Below are 26386 nucleotides of genomic sequence, written 5' to 3'. Positions count from 1 at the left end.
CCAACTCTTACGTATCTTTTTAGGGTCATCTTAAGCCCTGACTCTTCTGTGAGTTCTTCCTGAATTCTCTAGAGAAACATTTTGGGGTGGGGTGGGGAATGTATTTATCAGAAATATAATTATTGGAAAAAATGTAAAAATAAATGTCCCTTATTCTCCTTGGAGGTCTCTTAGTAGTTATTTCTCTCCAATGATCTTTATGTTTCTCTCTTCTTCTTTTCATCTTGTCCAGTCTCTTCCCTCTCCTCGTATAGCATCTCTGGGACAGAATGGTGAGAAATAATCAGGGTCTCAAGGATGGAAGAAATAATAATGTGGTAATTGTGGAGTGATGTTTAGCATCAGAGACAGTGGGTACATAGCTGGACCTGTTGTGGGGTGAGGGGGCAGGAACATTAGTTAGAAGACACCTTACACACATTTGCATCACAGCATTAGGCTTTTTGCTTTGTCATTCTTTGCATGTCATTTTACCCAATAGACTTCACATTTGAGGGAAGATAGGAGTTCTGTTCATCTCTGAGACCACAGGCTTAGAAAATGTCATTGATTTCCCATGGCCACTAAATAAGTCAGTTGACTGTCCCTATTCCAACTGATCAGTTTGCAGATTTGATGCAACTGAAACATAGGGATAGAAAGATCTGGAGACAGCTTGCCTATCCATGTTGTTCAGAACTCTAAATTAGGGATGCACATTTGAGTTAGTCACTCTATTCATTGAATATGCCTGCTTAGCCTTTCCTAGGTCTAATGCCATGCCTCACTAAGTGGATCACTGGAATTAAGCTTATTGTCTTAGTCTGCATGTGCTGCTATAACAGAATATTAGAGACTGGATAATTTATAAAAAATACAAATTCATTTCTCACTGTTCTAGAGGCTGGGAGTCCAAGATCAAAGTACAGGAAGGTTTGGTGTCTGGTGAGGGCTGCTCTGTGCTTCCAAGATGGCACTGGGTTGTTGTGTCCTCTGGAGAGGGGGAAAACTGGGTCTCACAAGCTAAAATGGACAGAAGGCAGTGAACCCACTCTCTCAAGCCCTTTTATAAGGGCCTTATTCCCATCCATGAGGTTTTACTCTCAGGTCTTAATCATGTCCTAAAGACTCACCTGTTAATACTATCTCATTGGTGATTAAATATCAACACATGAATTTTGGGGGACATTCAGACAATGGAAAACAACTTCAGAGCAGTGCACCCCTTATTATCAAAGGTTGGAAGTTAAATTTTGTACATTGGCACTTCATTCTTCAGCCTCTCAATGCGATAGTTTTGAGCAACCCAAGCTAACATTGGGGGATGTAAGGTATTAGGAAACTCGCTTGTAAATTTAACCTCTGCACAATGGAGCATGTCCTGAGGAAATGCTTACCTTATTCGCCTCCTACTGAGGTTTTATATAATGCTGATAAAGAAAGTAGCCCTGGATCACATCAAATCATCATGCTTTAAGGTCCTGACACTCATGGACTGAGATGGGAGTGGTAGCCTTGAAGATCTCCAAAAAGCCTTTGGGATTACATCTGGGGAGAAAGTCTTGGTAACCTGAACTCTGTCTTTCAGGAGAATAATAAACACATGGAAAACTTATTTCTTCAATCTATTCATTAATTTCTTCATTTGCCTATTTATTCAGCACCCCTCTGTGAGAGGCACAGAGCATTTGGTACTGGGAATACAAAGGTGTGGTCCTTGTTCTCAAAGTCCGTGAGGGTAAGTTACGTCTCCAATTGTGGTGATAAGTTAGGCCAGAGGTCAGCAAACTTCTTCTGTAACGGGAAAGATAGCAAGCATTTTAGGTTTCATGGGCCATAAAATCACTCTTGCAACTACTCAACTCTGCCATTGTTACATGAAAGCATAGGTCATTTGAAAAAAAAAAAAATGGGTGTGAGCATATTCTAATAAATCTTTATTTGTGGACATCAAAATGTGAATTTCATATAATTTTCGTGTATCATATAATATTATTCTTCTTTTGATTTTTTCCCAAGCATTTAAAACTGTAGCAGCCATTCTTAGTTTATAGGCTGTACAAAAACAGGCAGTGAATCAGATGTAGTTGGCAAACCATACATTGCCTACCTCTGATCTAAGACATGGTCACTGCTATGGTTTGAATTCGTCCTCCAAACTTCCTTTGTTAGAAACTTAATCTCCAAATTCATATGTTGATAGTATTTGGAAGTGGTGCCTTTGGGAGGTAATTAGGACTAGATAAAGTTATTAAAGTGGAGTCCCCAGTGATGACTCTGGTGGCTTTATAAGAAGAGGAGAGACCTGAGCTGACATGTTCTTGCCCTCTCATCGTGTGATGCTCTCCGCAATGTTATCATGCAGCAAGAAAGCCCCCACCAGATGTGGCCTCTTAACATCAGACTTCACAGCCTCCAGAACTGTAAGAAATAAATTTCTTTGTAAATCACCTTATCTGTGGTATTCTGTTATAGCAACAGAAAACAAATAAGACTGTCACTGATAGTTTAGATCTGTGATTCCTAAGTCCAGCTGCTGTTCACCCTGAATGAAGATCCAATCAACACTGTAGGTGTAATCCTTATCTCCCCGCTGCCCTTCTACTTCTCTCAATCTCCTGACCCTGACTCTCACTCCACAGGTCTTTCTATAAAACTGAAATCTTTTTATAAATTTATGATACTTCTGGGGACATCTGGGGACTTTTTTTTTCCTATGAGAAAGTGAAAAGGACTCCAGTGACTATTTGGTCTTGAAACAGTTTAATTTAGTTTTTTTCTTTATTCCCTTTCCCTATCTCCATTCTAGAAATTAACATAGAAACTCATTCTGGCTAAATTCCCAATACATTTTCACAGTGAGCATTTTCTGAAGTGAAAATTAGTAGCTTCCTTGCAGTTTTCATCAGGAATGTGAAATTGTGGAGCTCACAGGGGTGGAGAACTCAAACCCCATTTATGAATTAATACATGCTGTTGAGGGTACCTCACTGTCTGCAGAGTGCTGGCGAATCTTTTCTACAGAATCCTGAGTATCTAAATAGTATATTTTAATTTCCCTTCTCATTGAACCAGTGAGAAAATACCATTTTCTATTTGCAAAAATGAATTTTGTAACAACTAGTATCTATATAAGATTACATTATTTACACCATCCTTAGGGATTGGCAGCACCTGGGGCAAGTTACAGTGTATCTTTCTAGTTCCTCCTCCTCCTTCCCCAGTCCCGATTTTTATCCAGGTGAAATCTAGTTACAGTGAGCATTAAGGGCAACCTCAAATGGAAACCAATGTTAGTGGGGATAGACATACGGTAGGGGACACGGGGAGATGACCTCTGCCTTAGTCTAGCTCTGGCCAGTTGGGCTCTGAAGCAGCCTTGAATCCTTCAGTCTCAGGACCTAAGCTATTGGGCTAGCATCATATTTTTTTTTTTTTCTTGGAATGGCTCTGGTCACTCAGGTCCAAAACCTGTAATGGTATAGAATATCTGGCTTCTCTGGCAATTTATAGGGGCCACGGAAAAGTAAATCAACTTGTAATTGTTAAAGGCATTTGTAGGCTGAAATCAGATAGATCTGGATTTGAATCCTAGTTTTTCCCATTGGAAGCCACTGTAGATGTCAGAAAAAATAACTAATTTCTTTATGTATTAGTTTTGATAGCTATGAAATGGAGAAAAAAACCTGTCTCATAAAATGAAGATGAGGATTAAATGAGATAGTAAATGCTCAATAAAAGGCTGAGGAGAGCATTTAGTAACAACTCGTTACAAATGCCACCACTCAAGAGTTTCCTTTTTTCCCTTCACTCATGCTGCAAACATTTATTAAACTGTTGCTTCCTTCTGAGAATATAGAAAAATGGAATAGATGTACAAAATGAAATGGAGGAGCTTGCATTTGAGTAGAAAAGGCAGCATCTACTTCAGCAAGTGTTATACAGGGGGTAAGCACAAAACAGGCATATCCCAGCCGAGTGGCCCCCTGAGGCCAGAGTCATTAGCACACCTGAGGATGTCAAAGAGGAAGTGTTTAAGCTAAGTGTTACAGGATGAATAGAAGTTTTCCAAGTAGTCAAGGGTGAAAGTATGTTTCCACTAGAGGGATAGCGCAAGAGTTTGGTTTTGCTAGAGTTTAAGGTAGTGGAGAAAGTGGTCACACAGGCTCGGGAAAGACACTGGGGCCAGGTGATGAGGGCCCCTGAATGTCACACTAAGGAGTTTGAACTCTGTCATACTCAGTGGGTCTTTACCACGTGAGGAAAAGCAGAATGACGTTAATGAGGTGATGCTCTTCCCACCTCTAAATGTGGCTGACCCAGAATAGAGACCCTAGAAAGCTCAGTCACCACTGATGCGTCCAACCCTTCACTTATACATGAGGAACCTGAGGCCAGAGATCAAGTCATTCTGCAAAACACCTGACCAAGCATGAACAAAACAAGAATAGGTTATCTAAGTCTAGTGCTTAAACTTCCTCCACATTCAGATCCTCCTTTAAATCCAGGCTGCTTCATCTAAGCCCTGCATTCCATGTACTGGATTCCAATGTAAGTACTGTTTCTGGGTGCTTTACTGAATAACTGCGTCTCCCCCATCTTCTGAAAGCCAGCTCTGTCAGCCCTGCCCACTGGAAGTGGGGACCTCAGCTAGGAAGAAGGATAGGGGTTTTCCAAGGAGAAAATGAGTCGATTGTAATGCCTTACAGATGCAGAAACAAATTCAAAACCCAAAACAGATTGAGAGACGTCCTTCTTTCCCTCAAATTTGCAATCGCTGTTTTAGCACTGGAAACCACCGCATCACGCAGTAGCTGCTCCCTGCTCTTATTACCCTCAGCCGCTACCCAGTCCTTCCTTCCCCAGGGCCTAGCAGGAAGCACGCCAGCCAAAATGTGTGGGTGTGCCTGTGTGTGTGCACGAGTGTGTTTGTGTTTTCATGTTACAGATACCTGGGGAACTCGCGCCCTAGAGCAACAGAGCAGGGGCTTGCTTGGGTCTCCTCCCTATCAGGGCCCAGAAAAAGGGGTAGAAGCTGGCTTCACTTCCAGCTTCCGCAGGCTCGGTTCCAGTAGCGCCTCCGCTTCTCCAGACCCTGGGCGCTTGCCTCTCTCCTCCCTTAGCAACAGGGAAGCTGTGGATACCAACGGAGGGTGGGAGCCCGGGAGGCTGCGGGTAGCCCGGGCGCCCAGGGGCGGCGGCGGCCCAGCCCAGGTGCCCGCGCACAGGGGACCTCGGTGCGGAGCCACCCCTCGAGCGCGACTGTCGCAGCGCCAGCGCGCACGGGGCCCCACGCACCCACCCTCCGCACCTGCCGCGGGGTCCAAAAGGGATCCTGCAAAAATGAGCCATTCTCACCCCGCTGGGTAAGTGACAACTGGAGCTTTTCCACGCTGTGGCAGGTGGCGGCTTCAGCCAGCTGCCCCTCCTCCTCCCTCCTGCTGCGGAGGGAAGGGGCGAGAGGGGAGCGAGGGGGAGGGCTGGGGAGAGGAAAATATATACGAATTCTGGGTTGCAGCGAGGATGGCAGAAATCCCAGGCATCATGTCTCCTCCCTCCCCTTCTTCGTTTCTTTCACCCACGTTCGCCCCTTTTGAAATTTTCACCCTGGAAGGATTAAAAAATGGAAGTGAAAAACGCATACATTAAGCAAGGACCTTCGCTGGGATCAAGAAGATCCTGTGGTGTGGAACATGTGTGTTTAGATGCAAAAGAAGAGGTTACCAAAATAAGAATTCGTTTGGAGATTTGAGAATGAGAGATGCATTCTCACCTTAGCTTACATATAAGCGAGGTGTGAGTTCATTCAGTATTGAAAGATGTTTCATTGGGAAAAGGGGGTATTATTTCAGGGATTTTTTTCTGCCCAATCTCAAAAGGACCATAAGGGTCTTTAAAAAGTATTTTAATAAAGGAAGGTTATATGGCACAGGAAAAGAGAGGGAGGAGTTGTGTGCCTGTGTATTTACTCATGATCTTCAGTTGCTTTAGGTAGGTGAACCCCTTAGATAACCTATTTTGGCAATTTTCAATGTATTCTAGAAAGAACACCGTCATTATTGGCTGTTGCAAAAAAAAAAAGTTTCTTTTTTTATTGGAAGGGAGAATATCCAATTTCCTCCTGAATTAAACAATGTAATGCATATTAGACGATTTTTTATTATGATACATCTAGTAAGAAGATAAATATCCTAGTCAATCTTGCAATTAAATTGAAGGCACTTTCCTTTTTAATTGCATTTATTGCACATTTTTAGGAGCAGCAAATTAGCAGAGGACAACATATTTGAGATCATTTGGAGTTTGTGATGTTTGAAGTACCACATTAGTCGTTGTGTTGGAACTTATACCCAAACTTCAAGATTTTACTTTTTAATGAATTCTCTGAGTGTAATGGCGTAAATGAAAATGTTTGAAAAAACTAAAGCCATATAAGGTGCCACGTTGGAAATCAGTTTCAGAACTTTTAGAAAAGTGATATAGCTATGATTACATAAACTTTTTGTTTTATCTCAAGTTGAATTTAATTTAGGTACTTTTTAACATTTTGATGCTGAACTCCTGTGCAATTTTTAGTTATCTGTGGGTCATGTAAGATGCTACGTAAGATGCAAATAGCACTATTTTTCAGCAGCTGATGTTTGCAGTATGTTTGCATTTGGGAAAATAAATATGTCAGTCATGGTTGTCTTCCTATGTTTTTCAAGTTTTTGGCTAGTTAGAATCTGATTAGACCATTTAATAATCTATTTTAAAATGTGAGAAAAATGTAGCTATTGATTAAACTGTGCATGATTAAGATTTCAGAAACTGAAGTCAAATTTTTCTGAAGTTCCATTAGTTCCAAGCCTATGGGGAAAAGGGAAATTTGTGATTTAATGCAAGAGTATGTTTCATGGTACTCTTCAGGAAAGGTGTTAAGATGGCAACAAATACTTTGCACTTAAATGGTAAGCTCCTGAAAAGTAGGCACCATATTGTATTAATTTCTCTGATCCCTTCACTTAGGACAGTGTTCAGAACAAAATAAAACTCAACAAATGTGTGCTGAATAAATGGTATTGCCGGATGGTGCATCCAATCTAGAGATGCATGTATTCGGAAATGAAAATTGTGTTAGAACTAAATATTTATTATGTGCATACGATGTGCCAGGCTCCATTCTAGTGTTTTATATGAACTACCTTATTAAATCTTCCCACTCATGCTGGTTTTTAGTTACCCTCATTTTTACAGATAAGGAATTTGAGGACTTATTGGGGGAACCCGCCCCCAATATTTCAACATAGATTCTTTATATTTTCCATGAGTGTCGGCCAGCTGAGAAATAAAGAGAGACAGTATAAAGAGAGGAATTTTACAGCTGGGCCACCAGGGTGACATCACATATTGGTAGGACTGTGATGCCCACCTGAGTCTCAAACCAGCAAGTTTTTTATTAAGGGTTTCAAAAGGGAAGGGGGTGTAATAACAGACAGTAGGTACAAAGATCATATGCTTCAAAGGGCAAAAAGCAGAACAAAGATCAAATGCTTCTGAGGGAACAGGACAAAGGGCAAAAGCAGAACTACTGATAAGGGTCCAACAAAGATCACAAGGCAAAGGGCAAAAGCAGAACTACTGATAAAGGTCCAACAAAGATCACAAGGTAAAGGACAAAAACAGAGCTAATGATAAGGGTCCAACAAAGATCACAAGGCAAAGGGCAAAAGCAGAACTACTGATAAGGGTCTATGTTCAGTGGTGCACATATTGTCTTGATAAACGTCTTAAACAACAGAAAACAGGGTTTGAGAGCAGAGAAATGGTCTGACCACAAATTTACCAGGGCGGAGATTTTCCCCCACCCTAGTAAGCCTGAGGGTACTGCAGGAGACCAGGGCTTATATCAGTCCTTATCTCAACCGCATAAGACAGACACTCCCAGAGCAGCTGTTTATAGACCTCCTCCCAGGAATGCATTCCTTTCCCAGGGTATTAATATTAATATTCCTTGCTAGGAAAAGAATTTAGCAATCTCTCTCCTACTTGCATGTCCATTTGTAGGCTCTCTACAAGAAGAAAAATATGGCTTTTTGCCCAACCCCACAGGCAGTCAGACCTTATGGTTGTCTTCCCTTGTTCCCTAAAAATCGCTGTTATTCTGTTCTTTTTCAAGGTGCACTGATTTCATATTGTTCAAACACACATGTTTTACATCAATTTGTATAGTTAACAAAATTATCACAGTGGTCCTGACGTGATGTACATCCTCAGCTTACGAAGATAACAGGATTAAGAGATTAAAGTAAAGACAGGCATAAGAAATTATAAAAGTATTATTTGGGAACTGATAAATGTTCATGAAATCGTCACAATTTATGTTCCTCTGCTGTGGCTCCACCTAGTCTGTCTGTTCGGGGTCCCTGACTTCCTGCAACAAGGACTGAGAAGTTTCTAGAGGTAGCATTGCTAGGAAGGGTAAGGGCTGGAATACAAAGCCAGACAATATAGGATCAGAGTCATTTCTCTTCACCATCACACTATGTTGCCTCACATGGTCAACAACTGAGATGTGCAGGAGCCTAAATATATAAAAATTTGTGTTGGATCAGACCAACATCTGATAGAGGATGGCTGCATGTAAGTATCTAGTATTTTGATAGATGATTAGAGGCTAATTTCGTAATAGTGTGTGTGTATACATTTTTTGGTTGTAATTTATCAAAAGTAAATGAAAACAATAAGCACAAATACAACAAATCTAAATGTCTTAAAATTCACCCAAGAACAAAATTATTTGAATTGCTAAAGTTTTTCCTCAAATAAAAGTAGTGACTTTTTCTTGCTTATGTTACCATTTGGAAATAATAAAAGTTTCAGTAGCAAATAAAAGGTTTCATTAAAGCTGAGAAGGCTTTTCTATCATTACTGAAGCAGTTTGTACTTGTTACATTTTAAGGGTAAAATGGTAACAAAGTGCAGTTATACACTAAAACAAAAATTTTAAATCCCTCAAATGCCACCAATCAATAAATGATGTCCTGATTCCTTCTCTTAGTGCTTCCTTTGATTTCCATTGCTTACTTAATTACAGCATGAAGCACTTGATGTAAAAATTGCAAAGGGCCTGTGCCGGCTTTGTTCAGATAGAGTTAGGAGTAAATAAAAATGGTTTTTAAAACTTCTGCCAAAGATAATAGAGATTTTGAATCTGAGCTGCATCATAATTTCGTAGAAGTCAACTATAAAATACCATTTCCAGCATTGCTATCTTGAATGAAATTGTTTTAGAGTGGAAAATTACAATTGATTGTCCTTCTAGTTTGCTAAATCTCACTCATGTTGCTATTTATGTGTGTGTTTGTGGGTTGTGCATGAGTTCTAGAGGTGGAATGGTGGTTTTATATCCCTCAGTCATGCATGAGGATAAAATGATATGTCTCTTCTGGCTCAAGTTGGCTTTCTGTGTAAAAGATACACTTGGCTGTAAATAGAGATAGTTGCACTCATCTGTAAATTTTCTTTGAGGAAGGAAGAATGAGAAGCATTATAGCTCATGACAAGAAAAAAAATGCAGAAGACATATGTTTTGAAAGACTGTTCAAAGGTTTAGAAGCATTTTTTGTTAGTTTAGGCTTATTAGTTTATACCTTTTTAATGTAAAGAAGTGTTTCTGTAATGACAGAGTACACTGAAGCATGGTAAAGAAAGAATTAATACATCCTTAGTACTCCCTGATAATGCAGTCGTTTTTCATCGAAGGCAGATTAAAAACTACCGTTAGGTCAAGCTGTCAATTTTACAGAGTATGTGTATCCAGGAGAGACAGCAATGATAAACCCACCACATTATTTCCTAAAGAAAGGTCCATTGCATTCTTAAGTAGCATACGTTTCTTGCCTCCCGAGTTAGCAAACTGGGATGTACTTTGGATAGCTACAGTAACATTCTAGTCTGTTTGTTACCCACTTGCACCACCAAAATTATCTCTTTCACACAGAATTTCAGACTTTAAGTCATTAAATATTTAAATTAAACTTTGGTAGTTTCTATTCACCCTCCTGTTAAATATTAACAAATTAAGGAGTAAATTGATTGTGCTTAAATGAGTTGAATTGCACAGGCTTATTTGTTGTGGCTTCCACTGTAAAGCATTTCATGTTATAGATTCTGCTCTTTTAAATATATATATGTATATGTCTTTTCTTCTCTTACTCCTTTAACAAACATGTTCATGTAAGTAGATGGGAATGGAAAGGGGTTTGTTATGGCAATGTCATTTAATTCTTTGAATTCCTTCAGAGTTATAAGCCAAAAATCACATAGTGATCAGACACAAAAAATGTTTTTGATGATCTTTCAAATGACAGCTCAATTAGGTCCTTCTTCAACTATATTGAAATCTAAGCATTGGAAACTACAGTGTTTGACTTGCAATTAGATTTGTTGCCCAGTCATGAAAGTCATTTGTTGTATCAATACCTGTGCAATACTTCAAATTGTCTGTTTCTCAGATGTTTTTCTAAGCTCAAAGCACTACCTAATAAGACCACCAGATGAAGAGAGATGTGTCCTTCTGCTGGAAAATTCAAAGATAATTATAAAAAAGTAGGTGGAAATCAACATGACTGGAAGTGCATTTTTCAGGAAGATCAATTTTAAGGGAGTACAAAGCAAACTTGAGCAATAGAAATTGATTCCCTTAAAACAATTCTATTGGCCCATTCTTACACTGCTATAAAGATACTTCCTGACACTGGGTAATTTATAAAGAAAAAAGGTTTAATTGACTTATAGTTCTGCATGGCTGGAGAGGTCTCAAGAAACTTACAATCATGGTGGAAGGTGAAGGGGAAGCAAGGAACGTCTTACATCGCAGCAGGAGAGAAAGCAAGTGAAAGGGAAGTGCCACACTTTTAAACCATCAGATCTCATGAGAATTCCCTCACTGTCACAAGAACAGCGTGGGGGAAAGTGCTTCCATAATCCAATCACCTCCTACCAGGTCCCTCCCTCAACATGTGGGGATTAAAATTGAAGATGAGATTTGGGTGGGGACACAGAGCCAAACGATATCAACTATCCTTATCCAAGGTCCCCCAGGAAAGTCTTTGGGTTTCTCTCAGTCTCTGCTGAGAAAAAGCATCTCTAACTAGGAGGATAGGTGGAGATGTGCCTAACTTATTTTGATTATTAATAAATCCATGCTAGGTTTTTAGGGAGATGGGAAAATAAAACTTCTGATTCAATTCTGAATTTAAAAATCAGCCCCAAATATTCAGAACCTGAGGTAAAGTTTAATTATTTTTGAGATTTTTAATTTCTAGAGCTATCACTTTCAATTAAAACTTTAGCCATTGAAGGTAGTACTGAAATAATCTTCTAACCTTTAGTTATTCATTTTGGTACAGACCAAGAGAAGTGGTGTGCAGACTGAATTATTGGAATTTCCCCTGCTATGGCTTACTCGCTTCCCCACACAAATAGTTGAGAATAGTGTATGTTATGGAATGACTCCATACATGTCAGTCAGTTTAAATAAATCTGTCAAATTAGATGAGGATAAAATTTGCGAAAACAAAAAATCTAAGATTAAACATTCATATTGGTTTGTAAGTGTGTTTGTCACCTTTTTCTAAACTGGAAATCCTAAATGATATATTATGTGTATGATTCATATAAAAAAAGATAGAGGAAAATCAGCTGAGTCATAGACGAAATAAAGACCTTGGCATCACAAAAAAATAGTGAACAGATATATATTTATGCTTTTAATTAAAAAAAATTTAAGGTAAACATATTCATATACAGTTATTTCATTAATTTTACTTTTTGTTTAACTGACCAGCTACTAATCCTGATTATATTGAATAGGAAGACTTGTGCAGTGCCCTACTTGTACAATGTCTACATACTCAAGGGAGAATTATTTGAATCTGTAGGCACTGCATTTTGATGTTTCCTTTGTTTATTTCTTTGGCTTAGATCCATGGTTCTAAAACTTCAGCATACAAAAATTGCTGAATAGTACATTGAACACACAATCATGTGTTTTGCACTTCATGGGTTAAATAAGTGATTTTCAAGGATAGATTTTTTTTTAACCAGGTAGTATATTTGCATGTTGTGCTAACTAAAAAGTCGACCCAAACATAAGATAGGATTTACTATACCTCTGGGTTCCAGCACAGCAGAAGTCATTTGGTTCTTTCACTGGCCAGAAGCTCTAAAATCACTCTCTTCTTACACAAGTCCCAGTAAAGAAACACATCCTTCATTGACAACATCATTGCTGCAAATTGTCATATCAGGAAATATACTCGGATTAAAGTAATTCACCTGAGAGCTTGCCTTTTTGGATTAATGTTTTTCTGGAGGAAAGAGAAAAAGATGTGACAAGTTGAATAGTGCAGCTTGAAAAATCATACCTTACTGAGACTCTTTCAGTATTAGGATTAAAAATTTTTTTGACAATTGTAAAATCATTGCTTTCACAGTGAGCCACAAGAAGCATACTTTAAAAGTGAAGAACATTGAAGAGTGTAGATATATAGATTTCATATAGATCTGGATTCTTTAATAATTTCTTATTCTCTTATGGGTCTACTCGATCTTGCTGTCTTTATCCCCTTGTCTCTTTTGTATGGTTAACTTTTTTGGTCGATGAGCAGGTTACTGTGAAGTGCAGTTTTTTCTGACAGTAAAAGCATGGTTTCCCCATGCTCTGGGGACTTTCTTAGAGATCCTCATTATCCTCTTCTCTTTCTTCTGAGCTATCTACATGAATGTTCTGGGATGTAGAAGGTATCTATGCCCTTTTTTGATGGTCATCAATGATCTTTTTCTGTTTGCCAGCACAGATAATTCAGAATCAAGTTATGGTATTTTGGGTTTTTATGTACTCAGAAAAGATGTCCCTTATTTCTTCTGTCTAAATCCATGATATATACTTAGGTTGGTCACCTTTCTGGTTATTTCTGTGTCATGGACTTAATTGTGCCACCCTCCCTTCTGTCTGCCTCCCCCTCCCACTGTAATTTATATGTTGAAGTCCTAACCCTCAGTTCCTCAGAATGTGACTGTATTGGAGACAGGGTCTTTAAAGAGGTAATTAAGGTTAAATCAGGCCAATATCTGGACCCTAATCCAATGTGACTGGTGTCTTCATAAGAAGAGATTAGGACAAAGACATGCTCACAAACATGGCCATCTGCAAACCAAAAAGAGAGACCTGAAACAGACTCTTCTCTCATGGCCCTCAGAAGAAACCAACCCTGCTGACACCTTGATGTCAGATTTCTAGAACCATGAGAAAATAAATTTTTGTTGTTTGAGCTACCTGATGCCTTGTTATCGCAGCCCTACCAAACTAACGCAACCTGTTTGTAGCTGTTGATGCTCTTCATTACTTGGCTCTGCAAAGGCTGAAAGTGGTTTTTATGAGAAATGCAGAATCATTTAAAATAAATGATTGATTGATTGATAACATATGGGGGTCATGGGGGTCTTAGTCAATTTGGTCTGTTAAAATAGAATACCATAGACTGGGTGGCTTAGAAACAACAGAATTTTATTTCTCACGGCTCTGGAGGTTGGGGAGCCCAAGAGACATTTGCAGGGTCTGGTGAGGGCCTGCTCTCTGGTTCACAGATGGCTGTTTTTTTTTTTGAGACGGAGTCTTGCTCTGTCGCCCAGGCTGCAGATGGCCATCTTCTTGCTGGGCCCTCACATGGCAGAAGGGGTGAGAGAGCTTTCTGAGGTCTCTTTTTTAAGACACTAATTCCATTCATGAGGGTTTTTACCTTCACCTAATCAACTCCTAAAGAACCCATCTCCTAATACAATAACATTGTGGGTTAAGATTTCAACATATGAATTTTGGGGTGATACAGACGTTAAGTCTATAACATGGAGAATGGAGATTTGAAGCCAAAAGTTCAAAAGGGAGATAAAAGTCAAAGCTAACAAAAAATATAAGTAAAGACTTAGTGGGGAGAAATAATTAAGATAATAAATCAATGATCTCTACAGGTAAGTGTTGAACTGTTAAGTCTGATTAGTAATCTAATTACTTCCTACCTCTCAGTGCCTGATGCTGGTTGGAACAGAAAATTCAACATTTTAAGCTGGTGATCCATTTTTATGCGACTGTTATTATTTTTCTATAATAGTCATAAACATTTACAAATTAATGAAAATTCTCAGGGCAAAATATTGAAGCAAGGAAAGAAACAGCAGGGAACTAAACAGACAATATAAATTGCACATAGTAGTTATGAAACAGCATTAAAAACTAAGGATTTTAAATTGAATTGAATCATAGTGTTTTATAGTAGCAGTTAATTTGGCATTCTCTATATGCCATGGATTGTAATATTTTATATTTGTGAATATTATTTGGCTCTCATACAAAGAAGCTGTTTCTCTTCATTGCTTGCTCCAAGATATTTGCCATAATATTGTTTCTGTTGTTTAGATTGAAATAAAATAATCTGCTGTAAATTAGAATAATAGAGTTAGAAGGAACTTCAACTTTCTGGGTACTAGGGATACAAGTTTTTTTTTTTTTTAATCTTCCTTTTTGTATTTATCTGTATTTTGAAAATTTTTTACTTTGAGCAGAAAAATACCATGAGGAAAATCAAAATCATTTGAACTTCTACATCCATAAATAATTATAGTTTCCATTTTTATTATATTCCTATTTATTGTTCAAGTTGATTATTCTGTTTTTAAAACTATACTGATAAAGCTATACTACTTAAAGAGCTGCTTCTAAGACTATTTTGTCTTTAAAGTTATACCAACAAGTACCATACAGATACTTTCCTTGTAGCATTTGAATAGTTTTTATATCTCCCATGTAAATTGCAAACTCCATAGGGTGGAGACCATACCTGTCTACATCTTTGGGTTCTCATTGTATCCCAGGACTATGCCCCAAACTTAGCTCAATAATTCCTACCATATGTCTCTGACTTTAGTGACCTTAGGAATACATTCAGCTGAAAGTAACAGAAAGCCAAACTCCTAGTGGCTTAAATAATAATAAAAATTATTATTTATTTTATGAGTAGTCCTACAGGTAGGTGATTATATTTTTTAGTAATATCAGGACTTGGGGCAACATTTTTTTATTTTTTTCTGTGTTAGCAAGATGACTGCCCTAGATTCAGGCATTATATTCTTATCAAACCACTCCAAACCAAAAGGAAACAGATGGGTAAAAAGAAGACTTCTTTTTTTTTTTTTTTTTTTAACAAAAATCAGGAAGGACACCATTTTTAGAACCCTTCCATTAGACTTTCCTTTATTTCTCATGGACCATAACTGCAGCAATGGACATGCCTTGCTATAGGAGAGAGTAGGAAAGGGTGTATTTGACTTTCTAACTTCTTCTATGAGAGATAGGCAAGGAAGACAAGTTTGGGAATGGCTTCTAGTAGCCAGTCAACCATGTCCACTACAGAGCTTTAGTGACTGGCTGCTACTGGACTTCAGCTGAGTTTTAGATTGTCATATTTGCCAGATAGTTGTTGTGTGACCCTAAGCAAATTTTGTAATTTCTCTGATTCTTGTTTTTTCCCATCCTTGTGGGATTTATATCTGCTTTGTAGTTGTTGTTATGGTTAAATTAGATGCTGTAGTACATGTAGCACAGGGCCTGACACATAGTATATGTCAATATGTTCGCTTGGTGTCTGGTAGCTTATAATATTGATGGTACATAAGTAGGCACAGATTTCTACAGGACAACTTCCATACCTAAGTCCTGAGCTAGATGCAGAGTTGGGTTAATTGGAGAAGGCATCCTGGAGAGAGTAATTTGGGGAAAGAATGTTGAAGAAGGGGAAAGACATACAATGATATATCTGGAAACATTTTTAATTTTTTTAGAGATGTGATCTCACCATGTTGCCTAGGCTGGTCTCAAACTCCTAAGCTCAAGCAATTATCCCACCTTAGCCTCCCAAATAGCTGGGATTACAGGCGTGAGCCACCATGCCTGGTTGGGAAACATTTTTAAATAGTAAAAAGCACTCTTTAAAAACATGGTATAATTTCAGTCATCACTGCAGTAGTCTATTGTGACTTCAAATAAGTGAGAGGAGACAGCAGCATTACCTATTTAGGTGACATGTTCTTAGAAGCAGGCAAGCATGCTATAAAACCATGTGAAAGCTGGCCTGTAAGGAGAAGTTAATGCCTCTAATTAACTTTTGTTTTTAAGTTCTACTTACTGTGTCTTACTTAGTTTTTGGAACCTTGAGTAGAACACTAACTGTACATACCAAATTAGGATTTTTCCTTTTTTTTAACAAAATGATATTTGCCTTCAATTTTAAGTCATAAATTAATTTCAGATTTATTTCTGATCATCTCCTAAGCCTTTATAAAAATGAGTTTGAACATTTTTTTTTCTGTTGAAGTCAATAGTTGGGAATCTCTCTGCAACTGCAACAAATGAATATTTCACCACAACTCATAGGGATTTATGTAAGATTATGACTTTTAAAATCTTCTTTCCCATAGTTCTTCTTTCCTTTCAGTCAAGCTGGAGACATGGAACTTCAATTCATGCTGGAATCTTCCAGAATAAAACCTTAGGGAGTGAGTGAGGCTGGCCTCAGGCTGCAGTGTGTGAAGACGAATATTGAGATTCCAATCCTTGGTGAGGAGACTGGCTCAGAAAAATTAATGGAAAGTCTGATGTTTCAGGGCCACATGCAAGAGCATGGAGCAAAAATCAAACTTGAGAATGCTGTGACAGGGAGAAGGAGAACTCAGGCAGGGTGATTAAAAGACAGAGATATTCAGAAACTGTAGTCAGGAGTGTGGGCAAAAAATGGGAACACTTCAAAGAACGAATGAATAAATTCCAACTGTCTGAAACGCATCTTTCCCACTTTTTTCTCTTCCTCTAAATTAAAAGGACTGATATTCCAAAGAGAAAAAAATCAATGTCCAGTGCAAAAAACTATGAGATAAACATGCTATTTCCGAAGAGGATTTATTTTTGGAGTCAGAAGGATGTAGCTTTAAATTCCAGTTATGCTTTATGTAAACTCAGGGGAGTTAATTTCTGCTTCTTATTTTCTTCCTTCAAAAATACGGGGCTAATAAATATCGACATATAATAGGTACTCAGTGAATGGCACCTATTGTGTATTTATTTTGATCTTTGTGTAAAGTATATGTTGCTTAAGTCTTTAGGATTTAATTCTTAAGGGACATAAACCCCAAATAAATAAAATATACAGTTCTAAATAAGCAGACATGTCCCAAGCTAATTGGAAGGGAGCATAGAGAAGGTGTTTCCAGTCAATAAATCACTTTCTTGTTCAATTAAACTAATTTCTTTTAAATGGACAACCTCTTCTTAGATTCATGAATCTTTAGAAAGAAAATTAACATTGACCTACCAATTCATGACCCCTCAAAATGAGGTTGCTCCTTTAAGGAAATCATTCTCTGAACAACTGAGAATTTGAATAAAAATGGAAGCAATGACCCAGAACATTTGTACCTCTCTAGCACACTTGCTCTTTTTATCAAATTTGAGAATTCAAGACAAACTCATGAAACTGCATCATTGCTTTGACATTGACAAATGGTAGAAAGACTGGTGAAAATCTTATGGGTATTATTTTTAAATGGCTGAGCATTTAAAATTTAGTCAACCTCTTTAACCTTTGCCCAGATGTCATTACCATTTTAAATCTTACTACTGCTCATAAGAATTACATTTTAGGGCACTTAGGAGGTTTTTAACATGGTTGATTATATTTTCCTTCTCAACACACATAGTAAGTTTATTGATTTGTTCTCTTTGGTGTCTGGCTTTTCTGTTTTGGTTTTTCTTCCCTTTTTCCTTTCCTTCTTCTTTTTTTCTTTCTCATAATACCTCGCTCTGTGGGATCATTTCTGAACATTTTCCCATCGTACATTAAAATAGTACTATTCACATTGAAAAGAATATGTGAGAGTTTTTTAAAAATTTGCCAAGTTTGATTCAGATAAGCTGACCCTATGACTTGCATCACAGAAAACTAGTGGAAATCACTGACAGCCATTAGGTACCATTCATAAGCATTTGTGGAAATACCCAAAGACTAGAAAGTAACTGAAAATTATATATACATGAGTAAAAGTATTTATGTGTATATGTATATATACACACATAATATATATATTATATATATACACATATACACTTGTATACACATATATACACATATATACACATGTGTATATATATACACACTATATATATATATATATATACACTTGTGTGTCTGAATGTGTGCACACATGTATATTGAGCCTTCTTATAATCAATGGATGGTAGTTTAAAGAGTTTAAGTAGGCTATTTGTATCTATAAAAGACTGTGTTCCAAGATCAAATATAAATAAAGAGTGATCAGATTTCCAAGCCAACATAGCCCTCTAAAGTATATTTGACACACAATGGTAACTGCCTTTATCAACAATTTACAGTTTAATAATACTGTAAACTCAATTCCCTTTTATTATATTAATTTTATGTTAAATTGTATTAGTCTGTTCTCACACTACTATAAAGAACTACCTTAGACTGGGTAATTTACAAAGGAAAGAAGTTTAAAGAGGTTCCTGGTAAGGTCTCAGGAAACTTGCAATGATGGTGGAAGGGGAACCAAACATGTCCTTCCTCACATGGTGGCAGGAAGGAGAAGTGCCAAGCAAAAGGGGAAGCCCCTTATAAAGCCATCAGATCTCATGAGAATTCACTCACTATCACAAGAATAGCATGAGTAGCATGAGGGTAACCCCATGATTAAATTATCTCCCATTGGGTCCCTCCCTTGACACATGGGGTTTAAGGGAATTACAATTCAAGATGAGATTTGGGTGGGGACACAGCCAAGCCATAGCATAAATAATCAACAAATTCCTATTTGGGTGACAGAAACTTGTGATCTCTCTCTCTGGGACTTTGTGTATGATTTCCCTGCTTCTTAGAATGAATCCAGATAGTACTTCTGTCCCCACAATTACCCACCCAAGTTTTACTTCTTCCCTCAACACTTGACTTGTCATTTAGGACCCAGTTCAGATTTCAGTTCTTCTTGGATACCCTTCTTGTATGAGTATAATTTACTTATTTGTGAAATGGGATAATAATCTGATACATAGGATGTTTTGCAGATTAACAGAGATTGTGCATGCCGCACACAATAAACAGTTGCTGTTGTGATTGTAGCACACTATACTTCACTACCATTCTTTCATTGGTTGGATTGTACCTTCAGGGCAGGGACTGTGCTTATGCAGCTGTGTAGCTTTGTAACCTTGGGATAGTACGAGGCCAGGCACATAAGCACTTTGGGTTTATTGCACAAAATAAGTACTCTAATCTCCTTTGTGTCTGGCAGCAGGCATGCTGACTGACTACCCTTCTCTCAGTTTTACCCTCTGGCCTTTAAAAGACAGTGGGTGTCATCTGTTTTTCCAACGGGGGGTTTTGGAACTGTGCATGTGTGTGCACAGGCACACACACACACACACACACACATGCGCCTGTGCAACAGGGGTGGAGACAGTAGCAGGAGGTGCTTCTAGCAGGAGGACAGTGTAAAGATAGGCACCATGGTACTCTCTTATCCCTGGACCTTTGCATGTGGTAATCCCTCTTCCTGGAGCAATCCTCTTGTAAGTTCCCGCGCCTGCCCCTCAAATGGCCAGGCACTTATTCAGTTCTCTTCTACTGGCTCAGACTTCATTTTCTTCCTGATTGTTTAAATCATCCCCCTGCTCCCAAGTCTCCTTACTGCACTTCTTCTATGATTCTAAACCATGTTATATTTTCCTTTCAGAGCACAGGCAAATGTATATGTGGTTCATTTAAGAAGAAAGCACTGCTAATAACACAATAGCAACTAAGAGTGTCATGCACTGCGCTAAGCTCTTTACTTGCATTATCATACTAATGCTTAACAGAAATTCTGTGATATAAGGCACAATTATTTTCCCCTTTTACAGATGAGGAAATTGAGCTTAATAGTGAGTAAACAACTTGTTGGAACTCATAGAGTACAAGTGTCAATAGAAGATTTAAAACTGGGTATTTCAGAGGGTGGGGGTAAGTGAACAACACACTGGTAAGATGATCTCAAAAATGGTTAGAAACAGCATGACTTTTTAAAAGAACCAGCCCTTAGGAAATTAACCTAACCTTTAGTGGAAAAAAATGACAGACATTTGGATGAAGCTCTTTAGTACAATTTTATTTTTTTTCTTTGTATAATATGCTCAATAATATATTTAGAAAATATAGCCTACACAGCAGCATTTTTTTTTCCAAATGCACAATTGCTGGCAGAACCCACCTACTAGGTGTTTGTTGATTGTTCATTGACAGAGAAGCACTACTTACTACAGAGTTCTCTGATAGGTTGGCCAAGGGTTTGTTTGGTCTGTGTACGATTTGACTTCTCCCTCTGCTCAATGCTGCTTCCTCTCTTTTCCTTTCACAGGTGTTGATCACTAATAAACATCTTGTACCCAAAGCTGCATTTCAGCATGTGTTTTGAACAAATCTTGAGAATTGCTTTCCTCAAATTAGCTAAGATGGGAAAGGAGGACAAGGAATTGGGAAGTGGAGGGGAAAAGGAAGAGCAGAAGGAGGAGGAATACCTCATAGAGAACATTCAGTTTTATGGTTAAAGCAGAACAATCCTGGTTTGAATCCTGGATCTGCTTTTAACTAGTTATGGACTAGTTATCTAACCACTCTACATCTGTTAACTCATCTTTGAAGAGGGAAGATAATACTAATTCACAAGATTGTGTATATTATACAGAGTGTTTACTCTATGCACTACAAAAATTTAAGAAAGTACGCAATAAATGCTAGTGATAAAAATTCTTAGTTTCCAGAAGTTTCCATTCTGGTCACCTTTCCTCTGAACAGCCTCATTATCTCCCTTAGTTTTAATTTTTCTATTAATGCATATTTGTCAAGCTGCTACAATTTTTTTCTGTTCAAAGATGTAACATTATAAAGAGAAGAATTCATGGTATATGAAAGCATATACCATGTCTCATATGCAACTGGTCAAACTTAGTGTGTCTCCGGCCTACTGACTCCCATTCACTTCTTCCCCATTGCCTCATCTGTGAACACTGCAAAACTGTCTTGCCAGCAGTCAGCACAGTTGGAGACCAGTCTTGTTTTTACTAGTCACTTCAAACCATCATATTAAGGCTATAAATAAAATAATATTATGGTTCTCATCTGGCTTCATTGTTAGAATAAGCTGAGAAAAATTGTAAATCAATATTTAGCATAATTACTGAGATCTGGCAGGTTTGGATGCAAATAAAAAAGAATGAAGAATGTAATATAAAATCATTTATATGATATCAGTTTAATCACCCCCTATAAAGTGACAGGCTGTAGAGACTCTTGGTGTAATTGTAGTTGGCAAAGAGTTTTCTTATATAGGAATATAAAATAATTGGCCCTGATGTCAGTTGTTCTATATTTGTCTTTCATCAAGTTTCTTCAAAAGGATATACTTTTCTGCCTCCCTGGGAACTATATTTTTTTCTAATGCAATATGTAGCATGCCACAAAGGCACCATTTTTTCAAACACAAGAAAAAACAAAAACAAATAACAAAAAGAAAATTGTTAGTACGATCACTCATGTGGAGAATGCTGCATTTAAAAAAGCCAAAATACATAAAATATGCTTCTGCCATAGACTACTTCTATTTATTGTCCAGAAGCAGAAAAGAAAGGTGATTATCCTCACATGTGGATTTTAAAAAAGGATATATGTCAAGGAATTGGACCAATATGCTTTGTTTCCATTAACTGATTTGTACACTTACTCAACAAATCCTGGCTGGGTTTGTGACAGTTTACTGTGTGCATAGCTCCATACAACACCTTATAGGAGGGTGTACAAGAAGAGAATTTTACATGAGTCTGAAGACAGTGATTAAACATGGGTGAAAGAAATTCTGGTGGAAGGTGGTGAGACAAGGACCCTAGGAAAGAGATAGGTACAATTTTATGGGAACTCCTGTGACATTTTGGCATGTTCTTTATTGATTTATTGATGAACCCTCCCTACTTTTAGAACCTCAGCTTCCTGAATGTAAAATGAGGGAGTTTGCCAGATTCTATGTGGGTATTTTCACATGTGAATTTCTATATTCCAAAAATGATGAAGCTTTAAGCAAATATATTTCCAGACCAGTAAACTGAGATGTTCACTTCAGGGAGTAGTCCTAGCATTTTACTTGATGGATAATGGCTAGGTAAAGAAGATTGAATTATTGAGGGTCATGTATCTTATAAGGGGTAGAATTAGATTTGGAACTCAAGTCGAGGGCAAGGGCTCATGGGAATGGGTGTGCTTTCTTGCTCTTCCACCTTCCGCCATGCGATGACTATTTTGTGATGGAGTTGTTTCAAAAGTGATGGTAGAGGAATTCCCACAAGGGAGGGCCTCAAAATATCTTGTGATGGGGCCAGTTGGGATTCCAAAGAAAGAAACACTAAATGCCAAGGTCATCAGTCCAAAGCATTTATTAAGGCAACCTAGATGGAGAGTGCTGCAGCATATTCTCACAATGAACAGTGAGAGAAAAGGGATGTGCTATCTAGGTTGTCCATGGTGAGGGGGCCTGGGTATATGGAGATTATATGAAATTTTAGGAAATTTGGTTCACAGCCCGGGCCAGTTTCTTTCTAGGAAACCCAGATAACTTTTTCAGTGCCTGGGAATGTTCAAGTCCTCAGTTTGGGTTCAGGCCTGCTGGGCAAAACCCACAGCTGGTTGGGTCATAAAGCAGTGAAGGCATTCTGATTTTTAGTCATGATACAGAAAAAAAGTGAAGGAACTGGGAAAGCTTTCAGTGATGCAGTGAGAAGGGAGAAGGCCCTCACCAGATGATGGCATCTTGATCTTGAACTTCTCAGCCTCCAGTATTGTGAGAAATAAATTTCTATTTTTTAATAAATTACCCATTCTGTGGTATTCTGTTACAGCAGCATTAAATGGGCTAAGACACAGTCCAATCACCATCACATTCAGTGTCCAATGTTTCTGCTCCTGGCATCAGGCTTATGGGAGAGACCTTGCAGAACATAGAAGAATGGCCCTCAAAGATGTCCATATTCTAGCCTTCAGAGCATGTGGATCTGTTACTTTACATGAAAAGGAGGAATAAAAGTTGCAGATGGAATTAATATTGTAAATCATCTGACCTAAAATAAGGAAATTATTCTGGATTAATGTGGGTGGGCCCCATGTAATCACAAAGGTCCCTAAATGGGGAAGAGGGAGGCAGAAGAGCCAGAACCAGAGAGATATCATTGTGAGAAATAGTTGACCAGCCATGGCTGCATTTGGCAATGGAAAGGGCCCAGGACCCAAGGCATGTAGGCAGCCTCCAGAATATTGAAGGGAAAAATAACTGGATTCTCCTTTAGATCCTGCAGAAGGAATGCCACCTTAATTTGAGTCGTTTCTGTCTTCTGACCTCCAGAGCTGTAAGAGAATAGATTTGTATTGTTTTAAGCTACTAGTATGTGGTAATTTGTTATAGCAGCAATGGGAAACTAATGAACACTTTATTAATTTATATGGAATAAGTCACAATTTGGGTTAAATAAAACTAACCTGGTTGAACCAAAATTATTTTTAATATCTCTTCAAACAAGTATGCTTTTGAGGAAATTTTTAGTGCAAAGCAGGATGCAGGAATATATATTTAAGAGATTAGCTGAATTTAAGACTTCAGCACATTGCTTTTATGCTAAAATTATGAAGGAAAGTTATGTATTTGTTAATATAAGTCTGTAAGAATTTTTATTTAAAAGGTTTCTATCTCTGTAGTGGAGAATTGGGTGGATTATATTTCTCTGTGAATATTTCACCATTCACATTTTTCCATCATTATACTTAGCATACTGTATCCCTCACATTAGCAAGACCTGATGAGTGCTCTTCACTATGATTCGTTACATATTAGCAGGAATAAGCCTTAGGTTATATGGTCTTTGGCAAGTGATTTAAACTAAGGCTTGTTTTTCTCATCTACAAAATGGGGATGATCATATCTTCTATTATGGACTGCATGTCTGTGTCTCCCCAAAATTCATATGTTGAAACCCTAATCCCCAATGTGATAGTATTTGGAGATGAGGCCTTTGGGAGGTAATCAGATCATGAGGGATTGGTGCCCTTATAAGAAGAGACACAAGAGAGCTTGCTTCTCTCTCTGTTCTCTCCCATATGAGGACACGATGAGAAGACTGTCATCTGTAAACAAGGGAGAGGGTCTTCTTCAAGAACCTAAACATGTTGGTACCCTGATCTTAGACTTCCAGCCTCCAAAAATAGTGTTTGTTTAAGCTACCTAGGCTATGGTATTCTGTTAGAGCAGCCCCAAAGAAACTAAGAGAAACAGTAGGATATACATATCCTACTGTAGGATATACATATATACATACATATATATATATACACATATCCTACAGTAGGATATACATATATACTGTTGGTACTAACAGTAGGATATACATATCTAAAAATGTGGAAGTGGCTTTGGAACTAAATAATAGGTGGAGGCTGGAAGAGCTCTGAGGTGCATGCTAGAAAAAGCCTAGATTGCCATGAGGCAATTTTTAAAGGTGATTCTTGTGAGGACTCAGAAACGAGAGAAAACCTCCATCTTCTTAGAGACTACATAAACAATAATAAACAGAATATTGGTGGAAATACAGATGGTAAAGGTCATTTTAATGAGGTTTCAAATGGAAATGAGGAACATGTTATTTGAAATGGGAGAAAAGGCAATCTTATAATAAATTGACAAAGAATTGGCTGAACTGTGTTCGTATACTAGTGTTTTTGAAAGGCAGAAAAATTGAGGCAGAGGGTCACTTGTTCACAGTTATGGAGCCAGTAATGGTGGAGCCAGAATTGAACTGAAGCTAGAGTTGGCATTTCTCTATCTCTTTTCATCCCCAAAGGTAATGTAGACAGTGTGGGGATGGGTAGTACAGGGAGAGATGAGGGTAGAGTTACAGGGTGCTTCAGGCCAGAAGAAATAACATTATCAATGTGATCCATAAAGAAATATTGCCTTAGGTTTTCCTAAAACTGACTCACATTAAGCAATAATCTTGTTTTGGAGCTTTTCCACTTTAGTAAGATAAAAGAGCTGTAATAGTTAGATATTGTTCATATTACATGGGTCTAAAACAACTAGATGAGACTATGTATGTGAGAGTGCTTTGTAATCTGCAAAATGGAATATGGATATTACACTCCTTCCCCAGCTCAGGATTCAGTGCCTGACATGGAGATACTTGGTAATTAATTAGCTTATGATACGGGAAGAACTCTCTCTCTCTCTTTCTCCTCTCTCTCTCTTTCTCCTCTCTCTCTCTCTCTCTCGTTCTCTCTCTCTCTCACATACATACCCAGACACAGACACACACACACGTGCACACACAGTGTGTATCTAGTGTGTGCATCTCCCCACTAGATTGGGAGCTCCATGAGTGCAGTGTCTGTGCCATCTCTGTGTCCCTAATGCCTTACAGAATAACCTAAAATTAGTCATTAAACAATAAGCTTTTGTGATTTAAAAAAACTATTATAGTGCCTTTCCTTTTAGCTGGGATTTTTATATGGTAGACTATCTCTCTTTGGGATCAGGAGAAGGGATTGTTATGAATCACTGACTTTACTACAGAGCCACATTTATATATTACATGGTGGGAGGCAGGGTTAGAGGGTTAAGTGCTGAAAGGCCGCAGCTGGGAAGGTAGCACCCCGGTGACTCAGCTTTGGCTCCTCTAAACTTCAGGCCCTGAAGGATGTGGTGTGTGCACTGAAGTGAGGGAAACAGGAACCAGCATGGAGACAAGGTTGCTCTGTTTCCTCGGAGACTGTTTTCCCCAGTGCATTGAGCCAGGAAGTGGGTTTTTCCCCCACCTAGTGACCAGGGGATGGGTAGATAGTCTTGTTCATCACATAAAGAAACAAACGTGTTAGACTGGTCTGGCCAGTGACTTGTGGGTCTTGGCATGACAACATAGCCTGCGAGTAATATGGTCACAATGCCCTGGTGCTTGCTGTGACCAACGGAATCGATGAAAAGGGTGCAGTGGAGGATCACAGGCCTGAAGCAGCACGACCAGGAAGTCTAGTGTTGACACTGGATGCAGAGTGTAACATACAAGCTGCAACACAATCACCAAGCCCAGAGCAAGGTGACCTTAGTCAGCCCAGGGTTATGCCATGAGCAAGAAAGAAAAAAAAAAAAGAAAAGAAAAGTGAAGGGAGTAAGTAGCACTGAACGCAGAGGAAAAGGGTGGAATTTCAGAAAAGCTCTGCTAACCTGAGTTTGTGTTGGT

At 38.3% G+C, this 26386-nt stretch overlaps 1 protein-coding gene across 2 annotated transcripts in view; it reads left to right on the top strand.

Annotated features, from left to right (window-relative positions):
* The first annotated feature begins 4498 nt into the window (after positions 1-4498).
* The window catches only part of ERICH3 (glutamate rich 3), a 106221-nt gene continuing 84333 nt past the window's right edge, over positions 4499-26386 (top strand). Inside the window, exon 1 of one of the 2 annotated variants that reach the window (XM_017000275.2) lies at positions 4499-4530. In XM_017000275.2, coding sequence (XP_016855764.1) covers positions 4514-4530 — 17 coding nt within the window. In that variant the 5' untranslated portion in view covers positions 4499-4513. Of the gene's footprint in view, positions 4531-5049; positions 5346-26386 lie in introns of those variants that run through there. The other variant, NM_001002912.5, reaches the window with a different exon arrangement.

This window comes from Homo sapiens, chromosome 1 (assembly GCF_000001405.40).
Source record: "Homo sapiens chromosome 1, GRCh38.p14 Primary Assembly".
Taxonomy (NCBI): domain Eukaryota; kingdom Metazoa; phylum Chordata; class Mammalia; order Primates; family Hominidae; genus Homo; species Homo sapiens.
This window is presented reverse-complemented; position numbering and strand designations above follow the sequence as displayed.